Here is a 22,215-nt window from a genome sequence, read left to right as displayed (position 1 = left end):
AAATCAGGATAACACAGAGAAGGATGGGCTGTAATTTTAGACAGAGTTGTTAGGTAAGGCCTCTCTGCTAAGTTAACATTTAAGCAGAGACCTGAATGAAGTGAGGATATAAACCATGTAGATAGCTGGGGTACTAGTATCCTAGGCAGTGGCAATAGTGAGTGCCAAAGTCCTAAAGTAGAAACATGCTTGTTGTGTTTGAAATATAAAGCAAGACTCAGTGTGACTGGAGAGAGTGAAGGAGGGGCAAGTGGAAGGACATCCCCCAACCTAACATATTTTTCTTTTTTATAGCAGTTATCACCTTCTAGCATGTATGTATACTATATAAATTTACTTATTATATCTATAGTGTATTGTTTCATATCATCCTATAGCACTAGTTTTTAAAAAAATCCTTTCTCAGTGGACTAGGGCAACAGAAATCAAACTTTTCTCTTTCCTTGGCCTTTTACTTCCTTCCTCCAGCCCCTAGGTAGCCTTTCAATGATCTGTCTAAAATGAGAATCTGATTTGGTCATACTGCAGCTTAAAACCCTTTAATGGCTCCTGACTGCTTATAACTTTAAGCATAGTATAAAGGGCTCCTCATGACCTAACCACCTCACCAGTAATCCAAACCCATCTCCTATAGCTAGGGCCAGCCATACCAAATATTTATAGTATACCGATGCTTTTAAAACTTTTCTACAAAATATTCCTAATAGCAAAGGAAGGGTGACTTATTCCTGATGGACAGAGACGGGAGAGGCACATTGAAAACACAAACTTCTTTGAAGTTTGTTATTTCATCCTAAAAATTCATGTGGTCATTGTACTCAGTTCTGTAACATATTTATATTTGTTTTAACTTTAAAAAGTTTAATCCCAGCTGGGCATGATGGCACATGCCTGTAATCCCAGCACTTTGGGATGCCAAGGCAGGCGGATCACTTGAGGTCAGAAGTTTGAGACCAGCCTGGCCAACACGAAAAAACCCTGTCTGTACTGAAAATATGAAAATTAGGCCAGGTGCGGTGGCTCACGCCTGTAATCCCAGCACTTTGGGAGGCCAAGGCGGGCAGATCACTTGAGGCCAGGAATTCAAGACCAGCCTGGCCAACATGGCGATACCCCGTTTCTACTAAAAATACAAAAATTAGCCTGGCGTGATGGTACACGCCTGTAGTCCCAGCTACCTGGGTGGCTGAGGCATAAGAATAACGAACCTGGGAGGTGGAGGTTCCAATGAGCCGAGATTGTGCCATTGCACTTCAGCCGGGGTGACAGAGTGAGACTCCTTATCAAAAAAAAAAAAAGAAAGTTTAATCCCTACAATATAGTTGAATAAAATAAATGTTATAGGAAAATAGGAATGTTCAGATGCAGTCACTGATTCTGTAAACGCTTCAGCACACTACCACAAATCCCTGGGTGAACTTGTACTCCTGTTTCATGTGCAAGAGTTACCAATTCACACTTCTGTACCTTAACACAGGGGTCCCCATCCCCCAGACTGGTACAGGTCTGCAGCCTTTTAGGAACTGGGCTGCACAGCAGGAGGTGAGCTGCAGGCAAGTGAGCATTATCGCCTGAGCTCTGCCTCTTATCAAATCAGCAGTGGCATTAGATTCTCATAGGAGCGCAAACACTATTGTGAACTGCACATATAAGGGATCTAGGTTGTGTGCTCTTTATGAGAATCTAATGCCTGATGATATGAGGTGGAATCCCAAAACCATCCCCTGGCTGTCCATGGAAAAATTGTCTTCCACAAAACCGGTCTCTGGTGCCAAAAAGGTTGGGGACTGCTGCCTTAACACATGCTTCTCTATAGATGGAATAGCCTTTACTTCTCTACCTGTGACATCTTGTTCATCTTCAAGACTCTCCTGAAGCCCCTCTATGAGTCATCTAAGTAGACAGAGCTTACCCTTGTCTATATTACCACTGCTTTTACATATTTATCGCAAGACTTATATACTGCAATTAATTTTTACAAGTCTGTATTACTGATTAGACAATGATCTTCTTGAGATTAGTGGCCATATCTTATTTGCCTGTGTATATTAATGTTAGTTAACATTTATTGAGTGTTTACTATGTGACAAGGGTTTTATACACATTATTTCATTCAATCCTCAAACTTAGGAGGTTACTATAGAGATAGGGTGTAAGGTCCTTGAGGGCAGGGCTTGTTATTTTATTCACTAGTATATGTATCTCTTGTGCCTAGTACAGTGTCTGGAACATTGAAGGCACTTAAAAAGGGTTTGTTCAGGCTGGGCACAGTGGCTCACACCTGTAACCCTGCCTGAGCTTCACCAAGGCAGGGGCTGAGGTGAGCAGACTGCTTGAGCTCAGGAGTTTTGAGACCTGCCGGGCAACACGGTAAAACCCATCTCTACAAAAGATGCAAAACAGCCTGTTGTAGTGGTGTGTGCCTGTAATCCCAGCTACTTGGGAGGCTGAGGTGGGAGGACTGCTTGAGCCCAGGAGGTCAAGGCTGTAGTGAGCTGTGATTGAGCCACTGCACTCCAGCCTGGGTGACAGGGCGAGGCTCTATTTCAAAAAAAAAAAAGGTGGGGAGATTGTTGAACAACGAGGAAGCCAGCTCAGAGAGGTTAACTAACTTGTCCAGGGTGTACAGTTAGTAAGTGGAGGAGACAGATTTTAAATCCAGGTCTGCTTGACTGTATGTAGATCATAAAGTCTTTGCTTTGCTGCCTGTCTCCAAATTCCAGCTCAGAATTTGGTACAGAGAAGGCAGACAGTAGACATCTGTTGAATGAAAGAATGTCTTTTACCTTTAGATTACTTATTTGCTTCACTCTAGCATTCCCTTATTTCTTCATTTCTCTATCCTGATTTTTAATCTCTAGGCCTAGGACACAAGCCACAGTGGGCATGGATAGACCTAGCTTTCATCCTGCTTCTCTTCTTATCAATAAATATTACTGCTATACATAGGGAAGAAAATCTTCATTAGTGGAAAAACACATGGATATTGCACCGGGGTAGTTACTTAGTAAGAGTTGTTTTTTATTACATAGTGTCAAATAGTTCTAAAGCACAAAATGAAAAACAGATGGTCATAAAACTTGTAAAAATTAACCCAGAATTTCCAAATTTTATATTTTTGTGGTCATTATTTTTCTTTCTTAGTAAAGGCAAACAAGTTTATAAAAACTGAGGTATTTATACAAATTAACTTCATTTATTTATTATTATTTTAAGAGATATGTTGCCTGGGCTGGAGTGCAGTGGCACAATCATAGTTCACTGCAGCCTCAAACTCCTGGGCTCAAGGGATCCTCCTGGGCTCAAGGGATCCTCCTGCCTCAGCTTCCCAAGTAACTAGGAATACAGGCATGTTCCACCATGCCCGATTTTTTTTTTCTTTTTTTGCTATGTTTCCCAGGTTAGTCTCGAACTCCTGGCTTCAAGCAATCCTCCCACCTCAGCCTCCCAAAGGACTGAGATTATAGGCATAAGCCGCTGTGCCTGGCCAACTTTGTTTTTTATACTGTTAATAAAACTTTCTAAATAAAATAGTAATTACATAATGGCATCATTTCAAGTTACAATAAACAAGAAAGTGAGGATGTCTTTTCTTTTCTTTCTTTTTTTTTTTTTTTTTGAGACAGAGTTTCATTCTGTCACCCAGGCTAGAGTGCAGTGGTGCAATCCCGGCTCACTGCAACCTCTGCCTCGTGGGTTCAAGCGATTCTCCTGCCTCAGCCTCCCAAGTAGTTGGGATTACAGGTGCACGCCACCATGCCCAGCTAATTTTTGTATTTTTAGTAGAGATGGGGTTTCACCATGTTGGCCAGGCTGATCTCGAACACCTGACCTCAAGTGATCCACCCGCCTCGGCCTCCCAAAGTGCTAGGATTACAGGTGTGAGCCACCACGCCCGGCCGTGAGGATGTCTTTTCTGTACCATTTACTTTAGTTCATCTACCTGCAGCTGACCTGGAGAAAAGCAAGGCATAATAATGTGGTTATAGAATATATTTCAAAAGCCATATTCCAGTTAGATGATTATTGTATAGCTTGAATTGTAAAAGTTACAAGAACATTAGTAAATGTTTATATAAGCACAAAATATTTTAAAACTCTGGCACTTCTGAAAAGCGTGCTTATTTATTCATTTTTGTTTGCTAGTTTGTTAAAAGAATGGTGAAAAGGAGTCAGACAAATCTAGGTTATAATCCTGGCTCTCCCCCTTAATAACTGTGTCACCCTAGGGCAAATTACTTAATATTTCTGAGCTCATTTTCCTTGAAATGTATATAATAATTCCCAATTAGTAGGACTGTTGGTGAGATTAGAAGTCTGTGTAGTAGTGAGCATAGTACCAGGCACATGGCAACACTCAAAGGCTTACTTCTTTATTTCACTCTGGTGTCATGATGGCATGCACTTAAATCACCATTTCCTACAATAAAGTTTCCTGTGTCTGCTTCCTTCAATGTACATCACCTCCCATGTCAAAAAATGTGTTAAAATATATTAGAGGGAAAATACTCAAGGAATTTTCAGTCTGTCTTTTCTAGATGTCATAAAAAGACTTTATGTGTATGTGCATAATGCTTCCTGGTTCTTTCTGCTTATAATAGCAATGTTGCACCTGTATTACTGAATACCAACAGCCAGCTGGACCTGCGCATTGGCTATCCCAGGTATATTCCTGTTACCTACACTTGACTCCTGTAAGCATTTGAGTTTACAACCTCCCTTTTAAACACTGAACTTCCTTAGAACATCTACCATTTCATTAAAAAAATTTTTATCTGCATATCATTTCTTAGACAAGGAAATCACAAAGCAGCCATGTATCGTAAACAATCTAATGTGTAATAATTTACAAAAAATTACCTGATGGAATATCGGCTCTTTTACCTTAAGGTAAACCTGCAAAATATTAGAAAAAACACATGTGAATGAAGTACATTATGAAGGGGGGAAAAACCGACTCCAATTACTCTGCAAATCCCAAACCTCTCCTGCTTCCCCCATCTTACTCAGACTTGAATCTAGCCATGTAAAAGCAATCAGATCAAGTGGCATGCCACAGGAGAGCTAGTATCTACAGGAGGATTTCCTCAGTGCTAGCCCTGTTATGGTGAGTCGAATGTTTTAGATCTGTTGTGGACCACTCCAAACTCTGCATCAGTATCAAGGAGAGATAAGGATATATGGATTCTCATGAGGAGTGAAGAGGTTATGTTGACAATCCCCAAAGCAGATCTGTTCTACAACAGAGAGAACACCGGACTTAGAGATAGGAGTAAATTTCAACTTCTGCCACTTACTTGCTACATGCCTTGGATAAGTAATTTAACTAGAAGACGCATCCTTCCTCATCTGGATAATGAACAATAATAGTGATGAGGAATGATAAGCTAAAATACCTGAAAGTGTCTAGCATACAGTAGGCACTCAGTAAGTGAAGACATTTAAAACAAATTTCTTATGCTTTCTTATGCTTCCAGAAATCTCTAACTCACCTTCTAGATGCATTCGCAGTTACACAAACCCTAGTTGTAGGTTCCAATGTCATGTGGATGATTAAGCTCAATGCCTAGTTAAGATTTAACATGCATGTATTGCCCTACAGGAGTACAGTTTTTAAATGACATGGTACAGGGGAATCAAAATTCAAGTCATGACCCTGCCATGACTCTCATCACTTGTAAGACAAAGTTCAAATTTCTTAACCTAACATTCAAATCCTTCCATGATTCCTTCCTTTCTATTTGGTCTCACTATTGTCTTCTTGTTTCCTCCTCATCCAAGTCTCCAGAAAGTACTGTGCTTCCTCAAATGTGCTAGTTTCACGCTTCTGTATTTTTAAACATGCTGCTCTTTACTTTGTTCAGAAATCCTCCTCTATTCATTACTTATCTTTTAGGATTCAACTCAAACTATACCTCCTTCTTGAAGCCTTTTCTGATCCTTTCTCTATACAGCGGAAGCAACCAGTCACACTCCTTTCTACCATTACTCTTCATGTATAAACTTTGTGGCATTTAATGGTTTGTTTCTCTCCCTACAAGACTATAATATCTTTGATATTAAGTACTGGATTTAGATATTTCTATATCCTCATTTAATGTAGCAATCCCATAAAATTTTATATAATTTTATTATTTGGCTAAAGAAGTTTCTACCCTCAGTACAAAAAAAAAAAACCAAACCCAGATTATTTCCTTTAAGCATTGTGAGCTTTAAAAGTATGATGTGTATGAGATATTGTATATCTGTAACTCTAAACCCAGTAAGGGAGAATGCTTTTAATCTCTGAAATTTCTTATTTCAAAATACTAATTTCCATTTATATAGGTAATGCTATCAGATTCCCATTGTTACTAATAAAAGAAATGCAAAACGACATATCTCTTAAAGACATTTTTTAAAGCAAATAATTATGGAGTCCTTCCTATGTGTTAGGTATTAATTTTCACAACTAACATAAAATATATACTATTATTTTCTTCATTTAACAGATAAAGGAAACTAAGGCTGAGAGAGATTAAGTAATTTGCAAGGTCCCAAAGTTTTTAAGTAGCCTGGATCCAAACTTAAATCTGACTTCAAAGTCTGTCTCTCCCACCAATTGTCTATATACACTTGATTGGCCAGGCAAGTCACTGACAATCTCTAGACTTGATTCTCTTCTTTCATATCATAACAAGACTTCATTTCACCTCTGAAATTCTACAATTCTTTCACGATTAACCAATATGTAGTTGATATGGTTTGGTTGTATGCCCACCCAAAATCTCATCTTGAATTGTAATCTGAATCGTAATCCCTATGTGTTGGGGAAGGGACTTTGTGGGAGGTGAACAGATCATGGGGGTGGTTCCCTCATGCTTTTCTCATCATAGTGAGTGAGTTCTCATGAGATCTGATGGTTTTATAAGGAGCTTCTTCCCCCTTCGCTCTGCACTTCTTTCTCCTGCCACCATGTGAAGAAGGATGTGTTTGCTTCACCTTCCACGATGATTTGTTAAGTTTCCAGAGGCCTCCCCAGCCATGCGGAACTGTGAGTCAATTAAACTTCTTTCCTTTATAAATTACCCAGTCTTGGGTATTTCTTTATAGCAGCATGAGAAGGGACTAATACAGTAGTTTAGGCAAAGTAATGTGGAAACAAGTAAATAGTGCATATGTGCCCTCTCAACCTCCTATTCAACATCTCAACTAACTGAAATCTGGCTTTTGCCTCCATCAATTCACTACTGACAGCATCCTCATTAAGGTTACCTGGTCTTCCAACTGAAAATTTCTATTAGCTCTCAATATTCATTGTACTCATCCTTTCAGAGGCAACTGTTCTTCCATTTTTCACTTCTAGAAATCTTTGTACTCCATGACATCAGGCTCTCCTAGCTTTCTTACATCCCTAATTACTTGTTCTCAGTCTCTTTTGCTAGCTCCATTTCTTCCACCTAGTCCTCAAATGTAAGTATTTCATTAGGTTGTACTTTTAGTCTTTGTTTGTTTTGAGACAGGGCCTCACTCTGTCACCCAGGCCAGAGTGCAGTGGCACAATCATGGCTCACTGAAGCCTTGACCTCTCGGGCTCAAGCAATCCTCTCACCTCAGCTTCCTGAGTAGCTGGGACTACAGGTGCATGCCACCACATCCAGCTAATTTTTAAAAAATGTTTTGTAGAGACGAGGTCTCACTATGTTGCCCAGCTGGTCTTGAACTCCTGGGCTCAAGTAGTCCTCCCATCGTGGCCTCCCAAAGTGCTGGGATTACAGGTGTGAGCCACTGTGCCTGGCCCCTTTAGTCATCTTAACGGCCTATGCTACTTTTTCAGGTCATCTATTCTCATATTTTTGTACTATCTATACCCTGACAATTCCTAAATCTACATCTTTAGGCCAGCCTAACTGTAAAGCCTCAGATGTAATTAATGTCAGGCACCTCAATCTTAACACATTTCATATTGAATTTATCTCTACCCCTACCCCATGGCACAAACCTACTCATTATCTATCCTGCAAAAGCTGTTCATCCTCCAAGTTTCCTGTTTTGATTAAGGACATACTATCTATCCTGACAACCAGGCCAGGAGTCATTCTAGACAACTCCTTTTTACTCTACTTCCACCCCCTCTACTATGAAGTGGGTCACATATCCTGCAGTTTGTTACTTATGACCGTTTCTTTTCAACCCCACAGCTATATTACTTTCACCTGAGTCTCATATCTTACTAAAGCAAATACAGAAGTCCCTGGGTCTAGTCTCATACTCCTGTAATCCAGCCTCATAACCAGAGCAATCTTTCTAAAACACGTATCTGATTACATCTTTCCTTTAAACCAGTTATTGGCTCCACACTACCTTTTTCTTTTCTTTTTTTTCTTTTTGAGACGGAGTCTCACTCTGTTGCCTAGGCTGGAGTGGAGTGGCACGATCTCAGCTCACTGCAGCCTCCGCCTCCGGGGTTCAAGCAATTCTCCCACCTCAGCCTCCTGAGTAGCTGCGATTACAGGGGAGTGCCACCACACCCAGCTAATTTTTCCATTTTTAGTAGAGACAGGGTTTCACCATGTTGGCCAGGCTGGTCATGAACTCCTGACCTCAAGGTGATCCACCAGCCTCAGCCTCCCAAAGTGCTGGGATTACAGGAGTGGGCCACTGCGCCTAACTGCTCCACACTTCTTCGAGGATAAATATTTGAACTCTCAAACAAGGCATAGAGGGGTATTTATAATTTGACATTTGTCTAATTCACTAGACTCATTCACTGCTCTTCAATTACCATATGTTCCAGCCATATTAAATCTTGCCCAATTCTACCAGTGGTGATGATTTAATGAGACAATGAAGGTAAAGTACATAGTTACAATATCTGGCATATAGTAAGTGATTGAAAATGGTAGTTCACTATGTTGTTTCAAAGTTCTCTGCCTATGAAAAAACAATAGTGCTATCTACAAATTCTTCACTGCACTCTTGCCCAGGGGTCTGATGAACTCCTAATCATCAGTTAAATTCTAGTGCAAGTGCCTCATCTCAGAAGCTTTCCTTGACTCATGCATGAAGCCTTGATTGAACCTCCTTTATCTCATCACCATATAAGTAGTTTTTACCCCTATTATTGCAATTATTATCTTTTGATGCAATTCTTTGTGTACATGTCTAAAATCTCTAACAGAATGAGCTCCTCACAGATAGCAACTGCTTTTTAATCATCTCTGTATTTCTAGTGCCTGACATGGTAAGTTTTCAATAAATGTTTTCTGCAATAAATATTTTCATAATATAAAATGCAATTTACTTGAGAAAAAAAGCATTAATGTAGAATTAGAAGTGACTAGCTATCTCAACTTACTAGAGAAAAGTTAACCATTACAACAGTCACATTTGGACCAATGGAGCAGAGCCAATCTCTCATTTTTAACAAATAGGAGCTAATATGTCCATCTATGAGAAAAATTAATTTTTCCCAATTATTGCTACTAAATATTTGCTTTTTTGCTTTTTCCCTTTAAAAACTAAACAGATTTTTAAAAGTATTTCAATTACAGTGAGAAGTAACATTTGAACAGAGAACAAGGGAGCAATATTTGTCAGTGTGATATTCTTGTTTTGTGTAGAAAGATTTCAGTTTGACAGCATGAAGCAAATACTGGAAGTAAAATATGTCAAACTCCATAAATGGTGAATTTACATGCTTAATCTGTTAGAAACAAAATATGACTTACTGTGGTTACTATTAAACTGAATAGAACTAAGGTAAAAAGCAGATGGTAGTTTACTGAGTTCTTGATCTTGAAACATTCAAACCTTGAAAAAAAGAGAGAAAGAAACTTTTAAAAGAATATATAAGTAGGAACATAAATAGAATGCTGCTTTACCACTTGCCTATATCTCTCGATGATAAGTGATATCCATCATTTCTTTCCACTCATAGAGAAAACCTGCACTGCCTATTATCCTCTAAGAGGCTGGAAGGACTAGGAGTAGACACGTGACTTAAACTGGGACAATGAAAGGCTCTTGCCTGAGAGTCTGGAGTTTGGGAGAGAGAGACTGAATCAATTCAGTATAGAGAGTTAGCTGGGCGCGGTGGCCAGTGCAGGAGGATCACTTGAGTGCAGGATTTCGAGACCAGCCTGGGTAACAAATTGAGACCCTGTCTCCACAAAAAATAAAATAATTAGTGGGCATGGTGGTGTACACCTGTAGTCCCAGCTACTCGGGAGGCTAAGGTGGGAGGAGAGCTTGAGCCTGGGAGATAGAGGGTCCAGCCTGGATGACAGAGCAAGACCCTGTCTCCAAAAAAGAGGTATAGAGAGTCAAAGTCATATGGACTCAAGGTCTGAGGCTGATATTTGGGGGCAGCCAAATTGAATGAAGAAGTAGATGAATGAGCAGAAGTAATCTGCAGGGAGAGAAAAATATAGCAGATACAAAGAGGCGAAGCCATGTGGAGAGGAAGGAATGGCAAAAAGAGGGAAGGGGGAAGAACCTGTCCTTCCAGTTCTAGTAAGGTGGGGCTGTACTTCCTGCTATTGGGTTCCACATAATTTCCTCACATCCTTACAATAAATAAGGATGTAATAAATAAGGATATAATTTCCTCATATCCTTACAGTAAATAAATAATCTCTCCTAATTCAAGCTAGCTTGAATAGGTTTCTATATCTTGCAACTAATGATTCCTAAGGAATATTATTGGAGAAAATAGTAGTCTATTATAATTGTCTCTTCCCTTATCTATCTCCTCAACTAGCCTGTGAATTCCTTGTGTGCAGGAATAAATTTTATTTTTTTCATATAACTAGCACAAAGATAATGCTGAACACATAGGAGGTATCCGGTAAATAAGCAAATATGAACAGACAATTGGCCATCAGTGAGTATCCAATCCAACCTTTGAGGACTGTGACTTGGTATAGGCAGCAAGAGTGTTCTCTCAGTTTACTAACTGGCTGTGGGAATTGGACCAACTCTTATTTTCTTATTTGTAAGGAAAGGTGGTTAGAAGAGGCACTTTCTAAGATCTCTTTTACCTTTAAATTTTGTGACTTGGACAATGATGAAAATATTAGGTGAAATATTAGTTTTTACTTTTAAACTCTATTATTCCAAATTCAAAAGCAAGTTATCTGTTAAGAAACCAAAGGTCTTTAGGAGGCCTGGCTTGTATTTATTACCATGGTTATTTCACTTTATTACATATAGTCACTTTCTTATCTGTCCCCTTCCTCAGACAATGAGTTCCTGATTCTGTATCTACAGAGCCTAGGATCATGCCTAAAATAAAGGAGGTTTTCCAGTACATGTTTCACAAATGAACAAGCACACAGAAGGCAAGACAGATTTAAAAATCATTAGAGCCCAGGTGCGGTGGCTCACGCCTGTAATCCCAGCACTTTGGGAGGCCGAGGTGGGTAGATCACAAGGTCAGGAGTTCGAGACCAGTCTGGCCAACACAGTGAAACCCCATCTCTACTAAAAATACAAAAAAATTAGTCGTTGCAGGTGTATGCCTGTAATCCCAGCTACTCGGGAGGCTGAGGCAGGAGAATCGCGTGAATCCGGGAGGCAGAGGTTGCAGTGAGCCAAGATTGCGCCATTGCACTCCAGCCTGGGCGACAGTGTGAGACTGTCTCAAAAAAAAAAAAAATCATTAGAGGTCTAGACTGCTTCACATATTTGATATGTTCAAAGAATATCCTAAGGAATCAACAGAAAAATGAATAAGTTATCAAAGTGATAAGATAAAAGGTCAATATACAAAAATCACTTATATTTCTAAATGCTGGCTATGAACAATTGGAATATAAAGCTTTTAAAAAGCAATACTGTGGTCAAGTGCAGTGGCTTACGCCTGTAATTCCAGCACTTTGGGAGGCTGAGGCAGGAAGATTGCTTGAGGTCAGGAGTTCGAGACCAGCTTGGGCAACATGGCAAAATCTCGTCTCTACAAAAATTCAAAAATTAGCTGGGCATGGTGGAGCGCACTTGTAGTCGCAGCTACTTGAGAGGCTAAGTAGGAGGATGGCTTGAGCCTGGGATGAGGAGATTGCAGTGAGCCAAGATCGTGCCAATGCCCTCCAGCCTGGGTGAGAGCCAGACCCCATGTCAAAAAAGAAAAAAAAGCAATACTATTGAAAATAGCATCCTAACCATGAAAAACATAGGGCTAAATTTAACAAAGATCAATTCACTTAAAATCACAAAAAGTCACTTGGATAAATTAAAGAACCACATTCATGGTTTGGGAGACTTAGTAATGTTAAGATATTAACTTTCCTCAAACTGGTCTATAGAGTCGAAGAAATTACAGTCAATCTTCCAGCAGGCTATTTTGTAAAAATTGACAAGCTGACTCTAAAATTTATGTGGAAATGCAAAGGAACTAAAATTTCCAAAGCTATACTGAAAAAGAACAAAAGTGAAGGACTTATTCTAACTGACTTCAAGATTTACAATAAAGCTACAGTAACTAGACAGTATGAGGATACACGCAGTGATCAATAAAACAGAATTGAGAAAAAAGTCAAGATAATTTAATGCAGAAAGAATAATCTCAAAAGATGGTTCTGGAACAACTAGATACTGGTAAGGAAAACATGATCTTTGACAAAACTAACTCAAAATAGATCATGGACCTAAATGTAAAATAAAGTTATAAGACTTCTAGAAAAAATAAACAAACAAAATATTTTTGATCCTGGGAAGGCAAAGATCTCTTATGACACAAAAACACTATTCATGAACATTTAAAAAATAAATTGGATTTTATAACAATTTAAAACTTCTGTTCTTCAAGAGACATTAAATGAAAAGACAATTCACAGACTGGAAAAATATTTAAAATACAAATATCTGACAGGACTTGAACCCAAAATAGATAAAGAATTTTTACAATTCAAAAAGAAAAAAAGCTATTTTATAAAAATGGGGGCTGGGTACAGTGGCTCATGCCTGTAATCCCAGCACTTTGGGAGGCCAAGGCAGGCGGATCACAAGGTCAAGAGATCGAGACCATCCTGGCCAACATGGTGAAACCCCATCTCTACTAAAAATACAAAAATTAGCTGGAGGTGGTGGCGGGTGCCTGTAGTCCCAGCTACTTGGGAGGCTGAGGCAGGAGAATCACTTGAACCCGGGAGGCAGAGGTTGCAGTGAGCCGAGATCGCACCACTGCACTCCAGAGTGGCGACAGAGCGAGACTCTGTCTCAAAAAAAAAAAAAAAAAGGAAAAAGGTTTGAATAGATTGAATAGATAGTTCTTAATATAACACATACAAATGGACAATTAGAATAAAAAAAGATGCACATCATTAGTCACTAAGAAAATACAAATTAAAACACCACAGAGATAGTATATCATACTCACTAGAATGACTAAAATAAAAAAGACTGATAATACCAAGTCTTGGCAAGTATATGGAGCAAATGGAAGTTTCATATATTGCCAGTAGAACAATAATAAGGTGCAACTAAATTGAAAAACAGTTTGGCAGTTTCCTATAAAGTAAAACATATACTTACCATACAACATAGAAATTCCACTTCTAGGTATATACCCAAGAGAAATGAAGTCATATATCCATACAAAGACTTGTTAACAGATGTCCATGGTCCCTTTATTCATAGTAGCCCCAAACTGGCAATAACCTTAATGTTCAACATTGGTAAACAGTATAAAATGGAATACTACTAATGATATATGTAACAACATACATGAATATATTCATCAAAAGTAATTGGCAAATTAGTGCCCTCAAAAAATATTATACTGAATAAAAGAATCCAGTTACAAAAGAGTACATATGGTATAATTTCTTTTATATAAAATTCCAGAGCAGACAAACTAATCTATAATTATAGAAAGTAGATCAGTGGTGGCCTGGAGGCCAGGGTAGGTGTCAGTATTAACTGCAATGGGTCAGAAAAGAATGTTCTAATGTGATAGAAATGTTCTGTTTCTCTTTCTTGCCATAAGGGTAATGGGTAAATAGGAGTATACATTTGTCAAAACTCATCAAACCATACACTTAAACTGGGTGCATTTTATTCCATGTAAACTGTGTGTCAATACAGTGGATTAAAAATTATTTCACCCCTTTCATTTCCTTCTAAGTGTCACTTAAAGTGTACTACAGCAGGCTCTTTCTGAATGGGGGAATATGATCATAAACAGATAGTGCAGAAGATTGCTGAGGAAAGATTAGAATCCAGAGACATAGTTTTTGAGAAACAAAAGCTTTGCATGCTCTTTTTATATATTCTTTTTTATACTCTGAGGTGGTAGCAATGATGAAACTTATGTTTAATTCACTATGACAGGACACCATGCTCCATTTTCATATAATGGCAAGCTCTATCCCTTTCTACTCCACTGAACTTTGTATGTCTCAGGTATAGTATTAATCACATCACATGAAAGCTGCTTGTTTCTGGTTCTGTTTCTTTTACTAAACTACAAATTTCTTGAGGTAAAAGGACTATTTCTTACTTAATTTCCCAGTTCCTAGAGCCTATCACAGTGCATGATACATGAATAGCATACAATAAGTTTATTTTATAAACAAATCATTTATTTTAATCTTCATGGGAAATTTATAAGTACTATAATCTCCACTTTTACAAACGAAGGAACAAAGGTTGACTTACTTAAGCTCATTCAGTTACTAAATATCAGAGCTGAAAATTGATCTACATTATCAGTATCCTTCTAAGTAATATCTGCTGTTCCCTAGCACTAAAACTATTTTTCTTTTTCTTTTTTTTTTGAGACAGGGTCTTGCTCTGTCCCCTAGGTAGAGTGCAGTAGCAGCACAATCGTGGCTCATTGCAACCTCAACCTCCTGGGGCTCAGGCAGTCCTTCTGCCTTAGCCTCCTGTGTAGCTGGGACAGAGGTGTGCACCATCATGCAAGCTAATTTTTTAATTTTTTTGTAGTGACAGGGTCTCACTATACTGCCCAGGCTGGTCTTGAACTCCTGGGCTCAAGTAATACTCCTGCCTTGGCCTTCCAAAGTGCTGGTATTACAGATGTGAGCAACTATGCCCAGCTCCTAGCACTAATACTTAAGAGTTCTTTGTACCCATTATATGATGGTTATCTGATTCTTTTCAGTATAGTCATAATTGCTAGCTCAAGAATATCTTCTCCTAAAGATATATAAACATCAGAATAGTTTTTAAAATATGTTATTAAAAGGAGTTTACCTTATTTTTTTAGACCAAGGTGACAAACTATGGCTCAAGAGCCAATCTCTTGGCCTGAGCCTGTTTTTTTTTGTTAGTTTGGTATTGGTTTTTGTTTTTCTTGAGACAGGGTCTCCCTCTGTTTCCCAGGCTGAAGTGCAGTGGCACAATCATGGTTCACTGCAGCCTCAACCTCCAGGGCCCAAGTGATTCTCCCACCTCAGCCTCCCAAGTAGCTGAAATTACAGGCATGCACTACCATGCCTGGCTAATTTTGTAATTTTTGTAGAGATAAGGTCTCCCTATGTTGCCCAGGCTTATCTTGAACTCCTGGGCTCAAGCGATCCTCCCACCTTGGCCTCCAAAAGTGCTGGGATTACATTTGTGAGCACTGTGCCCAGCTAAACCTGTTTTTTTTTTAATAAAATGTTACTGGAACATAGTCACACTCATTTATTTACATATTATCTGTGGCAGCTTCCAAGCTACAATAGCAGAGTTGAAGAGCTGCAACAGAGACTCCTGTCCTACAAAGCCTAAAATATTTATCATCTGGCCCTTTACAGAAAAAGTTTTCTGATCCCCGTTCTATATCTTTTTTTCTGGGGGGGACAGGGTCTCACTCTGTCACCCAGGCTGGAGTGTAGTGGTGCCATCTCAGCTCACTGCAGCTTCTGCCTCCTGGGTTCAAGCGATTCTCCCACCTTAGCCTCTCGAGTAGCTGGGACTACAGGCACACATCACCACGCCTGGCTAATTTTTTGTATTTTTAGCAGAGACAGGTTTTCACCATGTTGGCCAGGCTGCTGTTCTATATCTTCTTACCTAACTTTGAAATAGGGCTTGACACCATATGGGTCATAGCAGCTAGATGGGCATTCTTACTTTTATTGTTTCTGGATAAAGATCAGTTTTAGTAAAGGTCAGAGCCAACAGTGATATAGTTGGTTATAGCTAACTAAAAATAAAAGAAAAAAATCTTTCAATTACTTTAGTGTGTACCATTAACTTTGAGAGAGGTATTAGGAAGTAGAAGTCAGATATGAACTGCTTTGAATTGTGGCTCCACCACTTAAAAGTGTCTCAGGATCCTTAGGGTGTTGCTTTTCTAGCCAGAAACCTCTGTGGCTGGTGGCACCTTTGCCCAAGTTTTGTTCTGGCCCACTGGGCTCATTCTGCCCACTCGGCCTGGCAGGCTGCACTTGGCTCATGCTACCAGCCTGGATCCCATGCCTGCCAAGGGGAAGCCAGGAATGGAGCAGTGAGAAGTGTTTAATGAGCAAGCTTGGGGTCTAGCCACTGTGCACAGCCAGGCACACTGGCTACTGCAGCAGGGCAGGCAGCTCCAGAAGCCAGCATAGGCACTGGCTCCATGTAAGCCTGCGGTTTGATCAGATACACCGTAAGCATCTTCCACTGTGGGCACCCCCATCTGGACAAGGGGAATGCAGTGGTGCCTGGAAACTGGGAGATGCCAGAAACCACCAAGCCCCCAAAAGGGTGTCACAGCCCTGGCTCGCGGAGCCCCTAGGTCTGGGCTCCCTGAAGGGCCACAGCTCTTCTCTCCTTCTTATCTCCTGCAATGTGGCAAGCTGGGGAGAGGGATATGTTTCAGCCCTGTTTGTGTTACATCTCTTTCAGCCCACCATTTGGCAAGTCCTAAGTTCTTGTCCTGCATCCAGGAAGAATGAGGTATGCGGACAACTGGAGGGTGAACAAGGTGGAAAGGAGCTTTATTGAGTGACAGAACAGCTCTTGGGAGACCCAAAGTGGGTGGCTCCTATCTGCAGGCAGGTCATCCCAGTGAATGTCCAGCTCTCAGTGGAGAGGAGACCCAGAGTGGGCAGCTCCTATTCGCAGGTAGGTCCTCCAGTCATCTGTGTGAGTCTGGCTGGGTCTGGGGTTTTTATGGGCTCGGGAGGGAGGAAGTGAGTGCTGATTGATCAATGGGCAGCCATGGGAGGGCTTGGAAAAAGCACTGTAAGTTCTCACTCTGGGCCACAGACTCCACCCGGAAATGACAGCCTGGCCCCCAGGCTTCAGGCTGTCCCCGGCTTGAAGGTGGAGCTTCACCGGGGACTGCCCCTTTCTGCCCAGGAACCTGTCTGCCTCCTGCCACCATCAATGTATGGCCCATGGTGCCCAGGCTGTTCTTGCCGAGGGGTGCCTGCAGGCCCACACCAAGCTGCCCTCAGTCCCCGCCTCGGCCTCCCTCCCATGCTTGTCAGTGCCTAAAGTCCAGAGGGGGCGGAGGTGGCAGGGGGCTGGCATGTCAGCACCACCCCAAGCACATGCACACCTGGCCAAGTTGTGGCAGCACCCGGGCTCGGCCACAGCTTTGCTCTGCCCTGGAGTGGGAGCTGGGAGCGGAGAGAAGCCAGGCAGTGGGAGCAGGCACTTTCAAGCCTGCAGGGGCAAGGGGTTTCCTGGAACTCCAAGAGTGCAGGGATGCCCAGGTCCAGAGCCATGGCTGGGCATCTGCAGCTGTGCCCGGGAGTGTGGGGCTCCTGCCCCACCAACTCAGTAGGGGACGGGGTTCCCACCTGTTCCCGGCCCCCACCAGCACTGCCTCCCCTGCTGCAGCCAGCATCTTTGCAGTGGCTGCTCTAACTGGGCTACTGCTGCCCTCAAAAGCCTCGTTACTAGGGCCTGACTCAGGCATGTGGGTCCCTACATAAGCTAGTAATTTTTTTGCCCCTCCAAACACATATTCTTAACATACTTGTCCAACATTTAGAGAAGGCTGATGTTGCAGGGTAATGGGTGAAGGAGGCTTTCCTCTAATGTTCCCAGTGACTTAGCTAGAGCCCAAACCTGCATACCCTAACTTACTCAAATAGAAGACCTATAGCTAACCTCACCCACCCTCCTTAGAAGGCACATTATTTGATCATGCAGTACAGGAAGGGTCTCACTTCTACACTTCTACCACATACCCAGGCAGCCTATCAAAGTGTTCTTCCAACCTCTCCTTGAGAGGAATTGTGATCATTGTAATTTTCTCCATCATGATATATTTCCAGGGATATTTCAGTGTTCCTTAGAGACTGTTTACCTGGACAATGGCCTGGCCAGTATGCTTTTAAATCAAGTTCTGTTTTTGTCCATAGACAAGTTACTACATCTCTCTGTGCTTTACTTCCTTGTCTATAAAATGGGGCCAATACCCATTTATCTTGCATAGTTGTTGAGAATTAGAGATGGCATTGTACACTGCCTAGCACAGTACAAAGCAGTTACATATTAGCATTTATTAATGTTACTATCATAATCATTTTTATCTTTCAAGATTGATTTTTTCCTTGACATTCAGGAAATGCAAATTAACTTGATAATAAAGTAAACAGAATATAATACAGTAAGAGAACTTTGGATTGGGAATGGCCTGTAAGCTGTTTCCATATTTGTAAATAACCAATCAAAATAAGTATATTCTTGAGAGCATTTAGTCTACCTTAGAATAAGAAAGCAAGTATCTATTTAAAAGATAACTTCAAACAAAAAGGAGATTAAGTTGACACGATCACTATACAACTAGAAGTGTACCTCACTTTTCTGGTAAGCGTCTTGTTAAACTATATTGTAGAATACAGAAACTGTATCTGAAAACTTTTATGGCACAATATGAAAATCTTTATCTAAATTTGTACACATTATTCACTTGGGAAAGGAAAATTATGGAATTTAAGCTATTTAGATCCTATCTAAATTGGCTACAGGGTTTTGAGATCACAAAAGTTAATAAACAACATTATTGTAACTTCCCAGAAATTATACTCTATATTGATATCATAAAATTTATAATCTTCTACATTATTAAAATATCCTAGTAATATAAATGTATCAGTTATATTAATCCACTATGAGGTAAATATAAATTTAAAAATAAATCAAACAATGAAATTTTAAAAGTACTTACATGCAGTACACAAATATGCAACAGCTGTATATCATTGGGAGTTCATCCAATAGCTGTAAGAAACAAAGATAGATAACAGGCTTGAATATCATGGAGCAGCAATTATTATGCAAATCAAAATAAAACATCAAAATGATTAAGATTTTCAGCTCTTAGACCAGGCACAGAGGCTCACACCTGTAATCCCAGCACTCTGGGAGGCCAAGGTTGGAAGATCGCTTGAACTTAGGTGTTTGAGATCAGCCTGAGTAACACAGTAATATCCTGTCTCTACAAAAACTTTTAAAAAAAATCAGCAGGGCATGGTAGTGGCATGTGCCTGTAGTCCCAGCTATTTGGGAGGCTGAAGCAAAAGGATCGCTTGAGCCTGAGAGGTCGAGGCTGCAGTGAGCCATGATTGCACCACTGCACTCCAGCCTGGGCAACAGAGCAAGACCCTGTCTCAAAAAAAAAAAAAAAAAAAAAAAGAAAAGAAAAAAAGGTTTCAGCTCTTATTTCTTTTACTAATTCTCTTTATATATTTGTCATCAAATTTACTCTGAGTATGTGTGTGTAGTTTACTGTTTTTGAACAAACAAGGTTATCATCCAAGTGTCCTAATGTACATACTAAGCAGGGTACCTGACTCACTATTCCTGGAGGGCAGACTTGTCATTGTGCTGCTCATATCATCTGGTATTACAAACTATGATATTGTACCTCCAGAAAAAAATGATGTCCATCATCTACAGGTCCATAGGTCCTATCAGTATTCTTTTGCATTTCCATCCTTCCTATATCACCTTAAATGGATAAAGTGTCTACTAACATACATAAGAAGAGGTATTAATGGCCAGGGAAATAATTTTATTAATCTAAGTAAAGTATACCTCTGAGAAATAACATTTATTATTATTATTAGCAATGATAATAATAGTAGTAATAATAATTACAGCCATTATGTGTTAAACTGCAAGCTAGACACTAAGCTAGGTGTTGTAGATACCAATCTTAGAGTTTATTTATTACTAGATACACATTTAATTAATTCTTTAATAAAATGTCCACTATGTGCCAAGTAATGTGTTAAGAGCTGAGGATACAATTTTAAGACACAGTCACTGCCTTCAAGGAGTTCGCATTCTAATTAGAGGTTAAGGGAATGAAAGCATGATTAAATATAGAGTAAGGACTCCAACAAAAGACACAAAAGCCAAAGAAAGTGATGGCAGGAATGAAATGAAATGGGGTGGCGGAGAAAGGCATTCTAGGAAGTAGGAAGAGAGCTTATGTAAAGTGAATGATTCATTCTGGTAAATTATTAGAATTATGAAAATAATAGCATTTGTGCAAGTTAACTATTTTTAGTCATTAATTTTTTTGTTTGTTTGTTTGTTTGAGACGGAGTCTCACTCTGTCACCCAGGCTGGAGTGCAATGGCACAATCCCAGCTTGAAATAGGTCTGCAGATTACATGTAATAATAAATCAATGTTAATTATTGATTTTGTTGGGAGTATTGTGGATATGTAGGTGAGTTTTTTTTTAAGCTATAACTTACATACCATAAAATTCACCTTTTTTTTTAACCCCTTCATACAACAGTAAAAATTTATATCCCTTCTCTCCCTCACTAATTAAGTTTGAACAATGTTGGGCTTTCAGTTCTTCACGTTTCTTTCCTACCACAGGACCTTTGCATGTGCTGTTTCCTCTACTTAAGCTTCTCCTCTTCCCCTAGTCCCTCTTTACCTTAATCACTTCTGGATATTTTTCAGGTTTCACTGTATATGCCACTTCTTCACCCTAAGGATCCTGAGACACTTTTAAGTGGTGGAGCAGTTCATATCTGACTTCTACTTCCTGATACCTCTCTTGAAGTTAATGGTACACACTAAAGTAATTGAAAGATTTTTTTCTTTTTAGTAAGCTATAACCAACTATATCACTGTTGGCTCTTACCTTAGTACTAAGACTGATCTTTATCCAGAAACAATAAAAGTAAGAATGCCATCTAGCTGCTATGACCCATATGGCATCAAGCCCTATTTCAAAGTTAGGTAAGAAGATATAGAACAGCAGCCTGGTCAACATGGTGAAAACGTGTTCCATCTACCTTTTTGCAGAAACTGACAAGCTGATCCTAAAATTCATATGAAAATGGACCCACAGTAGCTAAAACAATAAAGAACAACAAACTTGGAATACTCACACTCTCCAATTTCAAGACTTACTACAAATGTACAGTAATTAAGGCTATGTGGTAATAGCATAAGAATAGATATATAAGTCAATAGAATAGAATTGAGAGCTGATAAACTCACACATTTATGACCAGTTGATTTTCAATAAGAGTGCTAAGACAACTCAATAAGGAAAGAACAGTCTTTTCAACAAATGGTTTTGGGACAATTAGATATCCAAGTACTATAGAATGAAGCCAGACCCCTACCTCATACCACATAAATAATTAACTCAAAATGGACCAAGACCTAAATGTAAGACCTATACTCTTAGACAAAAACACAGATATAAATCTTCACGACCTTGGATTAGGCAATAGTTTTTTAGCTATGATACCAAAAACATAAGCAACCAAAGAAAAAAAAACAGATAAAGTGTACTTCAGTAGAACTGAAAACTTTTTTTGCATCAAAGGACACTACTAAGAAAGTGAAAAGACGGGACAGGCCATCCGTGCTCTAAGCCTGGCAAGGGCCTGCTTGCCTGTGTCCCACATGCTAGAACTCGGCATCTGTAGGGGGCCTGCTAGGGGCAGGAAGGGACTGGCACCCAACCCTGAGCTGGGCACTCATGCTTCCCTGGAGCTGGGTGGAGGAGCTGAGGGTGTGGACAGGCATGAGGTATGGACATGTCCGTCCCTTTGAGGACCAAGATCATGACTACCACAGAGCGAGCACCCCTGGGGTCCTCAGATAAAAAGTCTGACCGCCACTGAGGATCCAGTCAGGCTCACCAGGCTACTGCAGCAGTCCCAGCAAAAGCAGGGCCAGGCTGAAGCAGTGACACCACAGACTTGGGGCACAGGGGGGTATCTCAGTGTCTCAAGGCTGCTGTAACAAGTCACCATAAATGCAGTGACTCAAAACGGCACAAGCTGATGACAGTTGTGGAGGTCAGAAG

The 22,215-nt window shown here is 40.1% G+C and overlaps 1 protein-coding gene and 1 long non-coding RNA gene across 12 annotated transcripts in view; one reads left to right on the top strand and one right to left on the bottom strand.

Moving 5' to 3' along the window:
* Positions 1-22,215, bottom strand: part of ACER3 (alkaline ceramidase 3) — a 165,880-nt gene that overhangs the window by 31,363 nt on the left and 112,302 nt on the right. For 8 of the 9 annotated variants that reach the window (XR_007062489.1, NM_018367.7, XM_011545151.3 and 5 more), the window contains 3 exons: positions 19,094-19,146; positions 9,711-9,792; positions 4,861-4,896 (listed from right to left, as the gene is read on the bottom strand). Coding sequence is in view for 8 of the 9 variants with exons in the window: in NM_018367.7 (NP_060837.3) it covers positions 4,861-4,896; positions 9,711-9,792; positions 19,094-19,146 (171 nt within the window). In the remaining variant the exon portion in view is untranslated. Of the gene's footprint in view, positions 1-1,208; positions 1,280-4,860; positions 4,897-9,710; positions 9,793-19,093; positions 19,147-22,215 lie in introns of all 9 variants that reach the window. The other variant, XM_017017987.2, reaches the window with a different exon arrangement.
* The window catches only part of ACER3-AS1 (ACER antisense RNA 1), an 80,139-nt gene that overhangs the window by 40,250 nt on the left and 17,674 nt on the right, over positions 1-22,215 (top strand). For 2 of the 3 annotated variants that reach the window (XR_007062790.1, XR_007062791.1), the window contains exon 1: positions 16,937-17,034. The exons of the other annotated variant lie outside the window; for it this stretch is intronic. This is a non-coding gene — a long non-coding RNA (ACER antisense RNA 1). Of the gene's footprint in view, positions 1-16,936; positions 17,035-22,215 lie in introns of those variants that run through there. 3 annotated transcript variants of the gene reach the window in all.

Source organism: Homo sapiens, chromosome 11 (genome assembly GCF_000001405.40).
Source record: "Homo sapiens chromosome 11, GRCh38.p14 Primary Assembly".
Taxonomy (NCBI): domain Eukaryota; kingdom Metazoa; phylum Chordata; class Mammalia; order Primates; family Hominidae; genus Homo; species Homo sapiens.
This window is presented reverse-complemented; position numbering and strand designations above follow the sequence as displayed.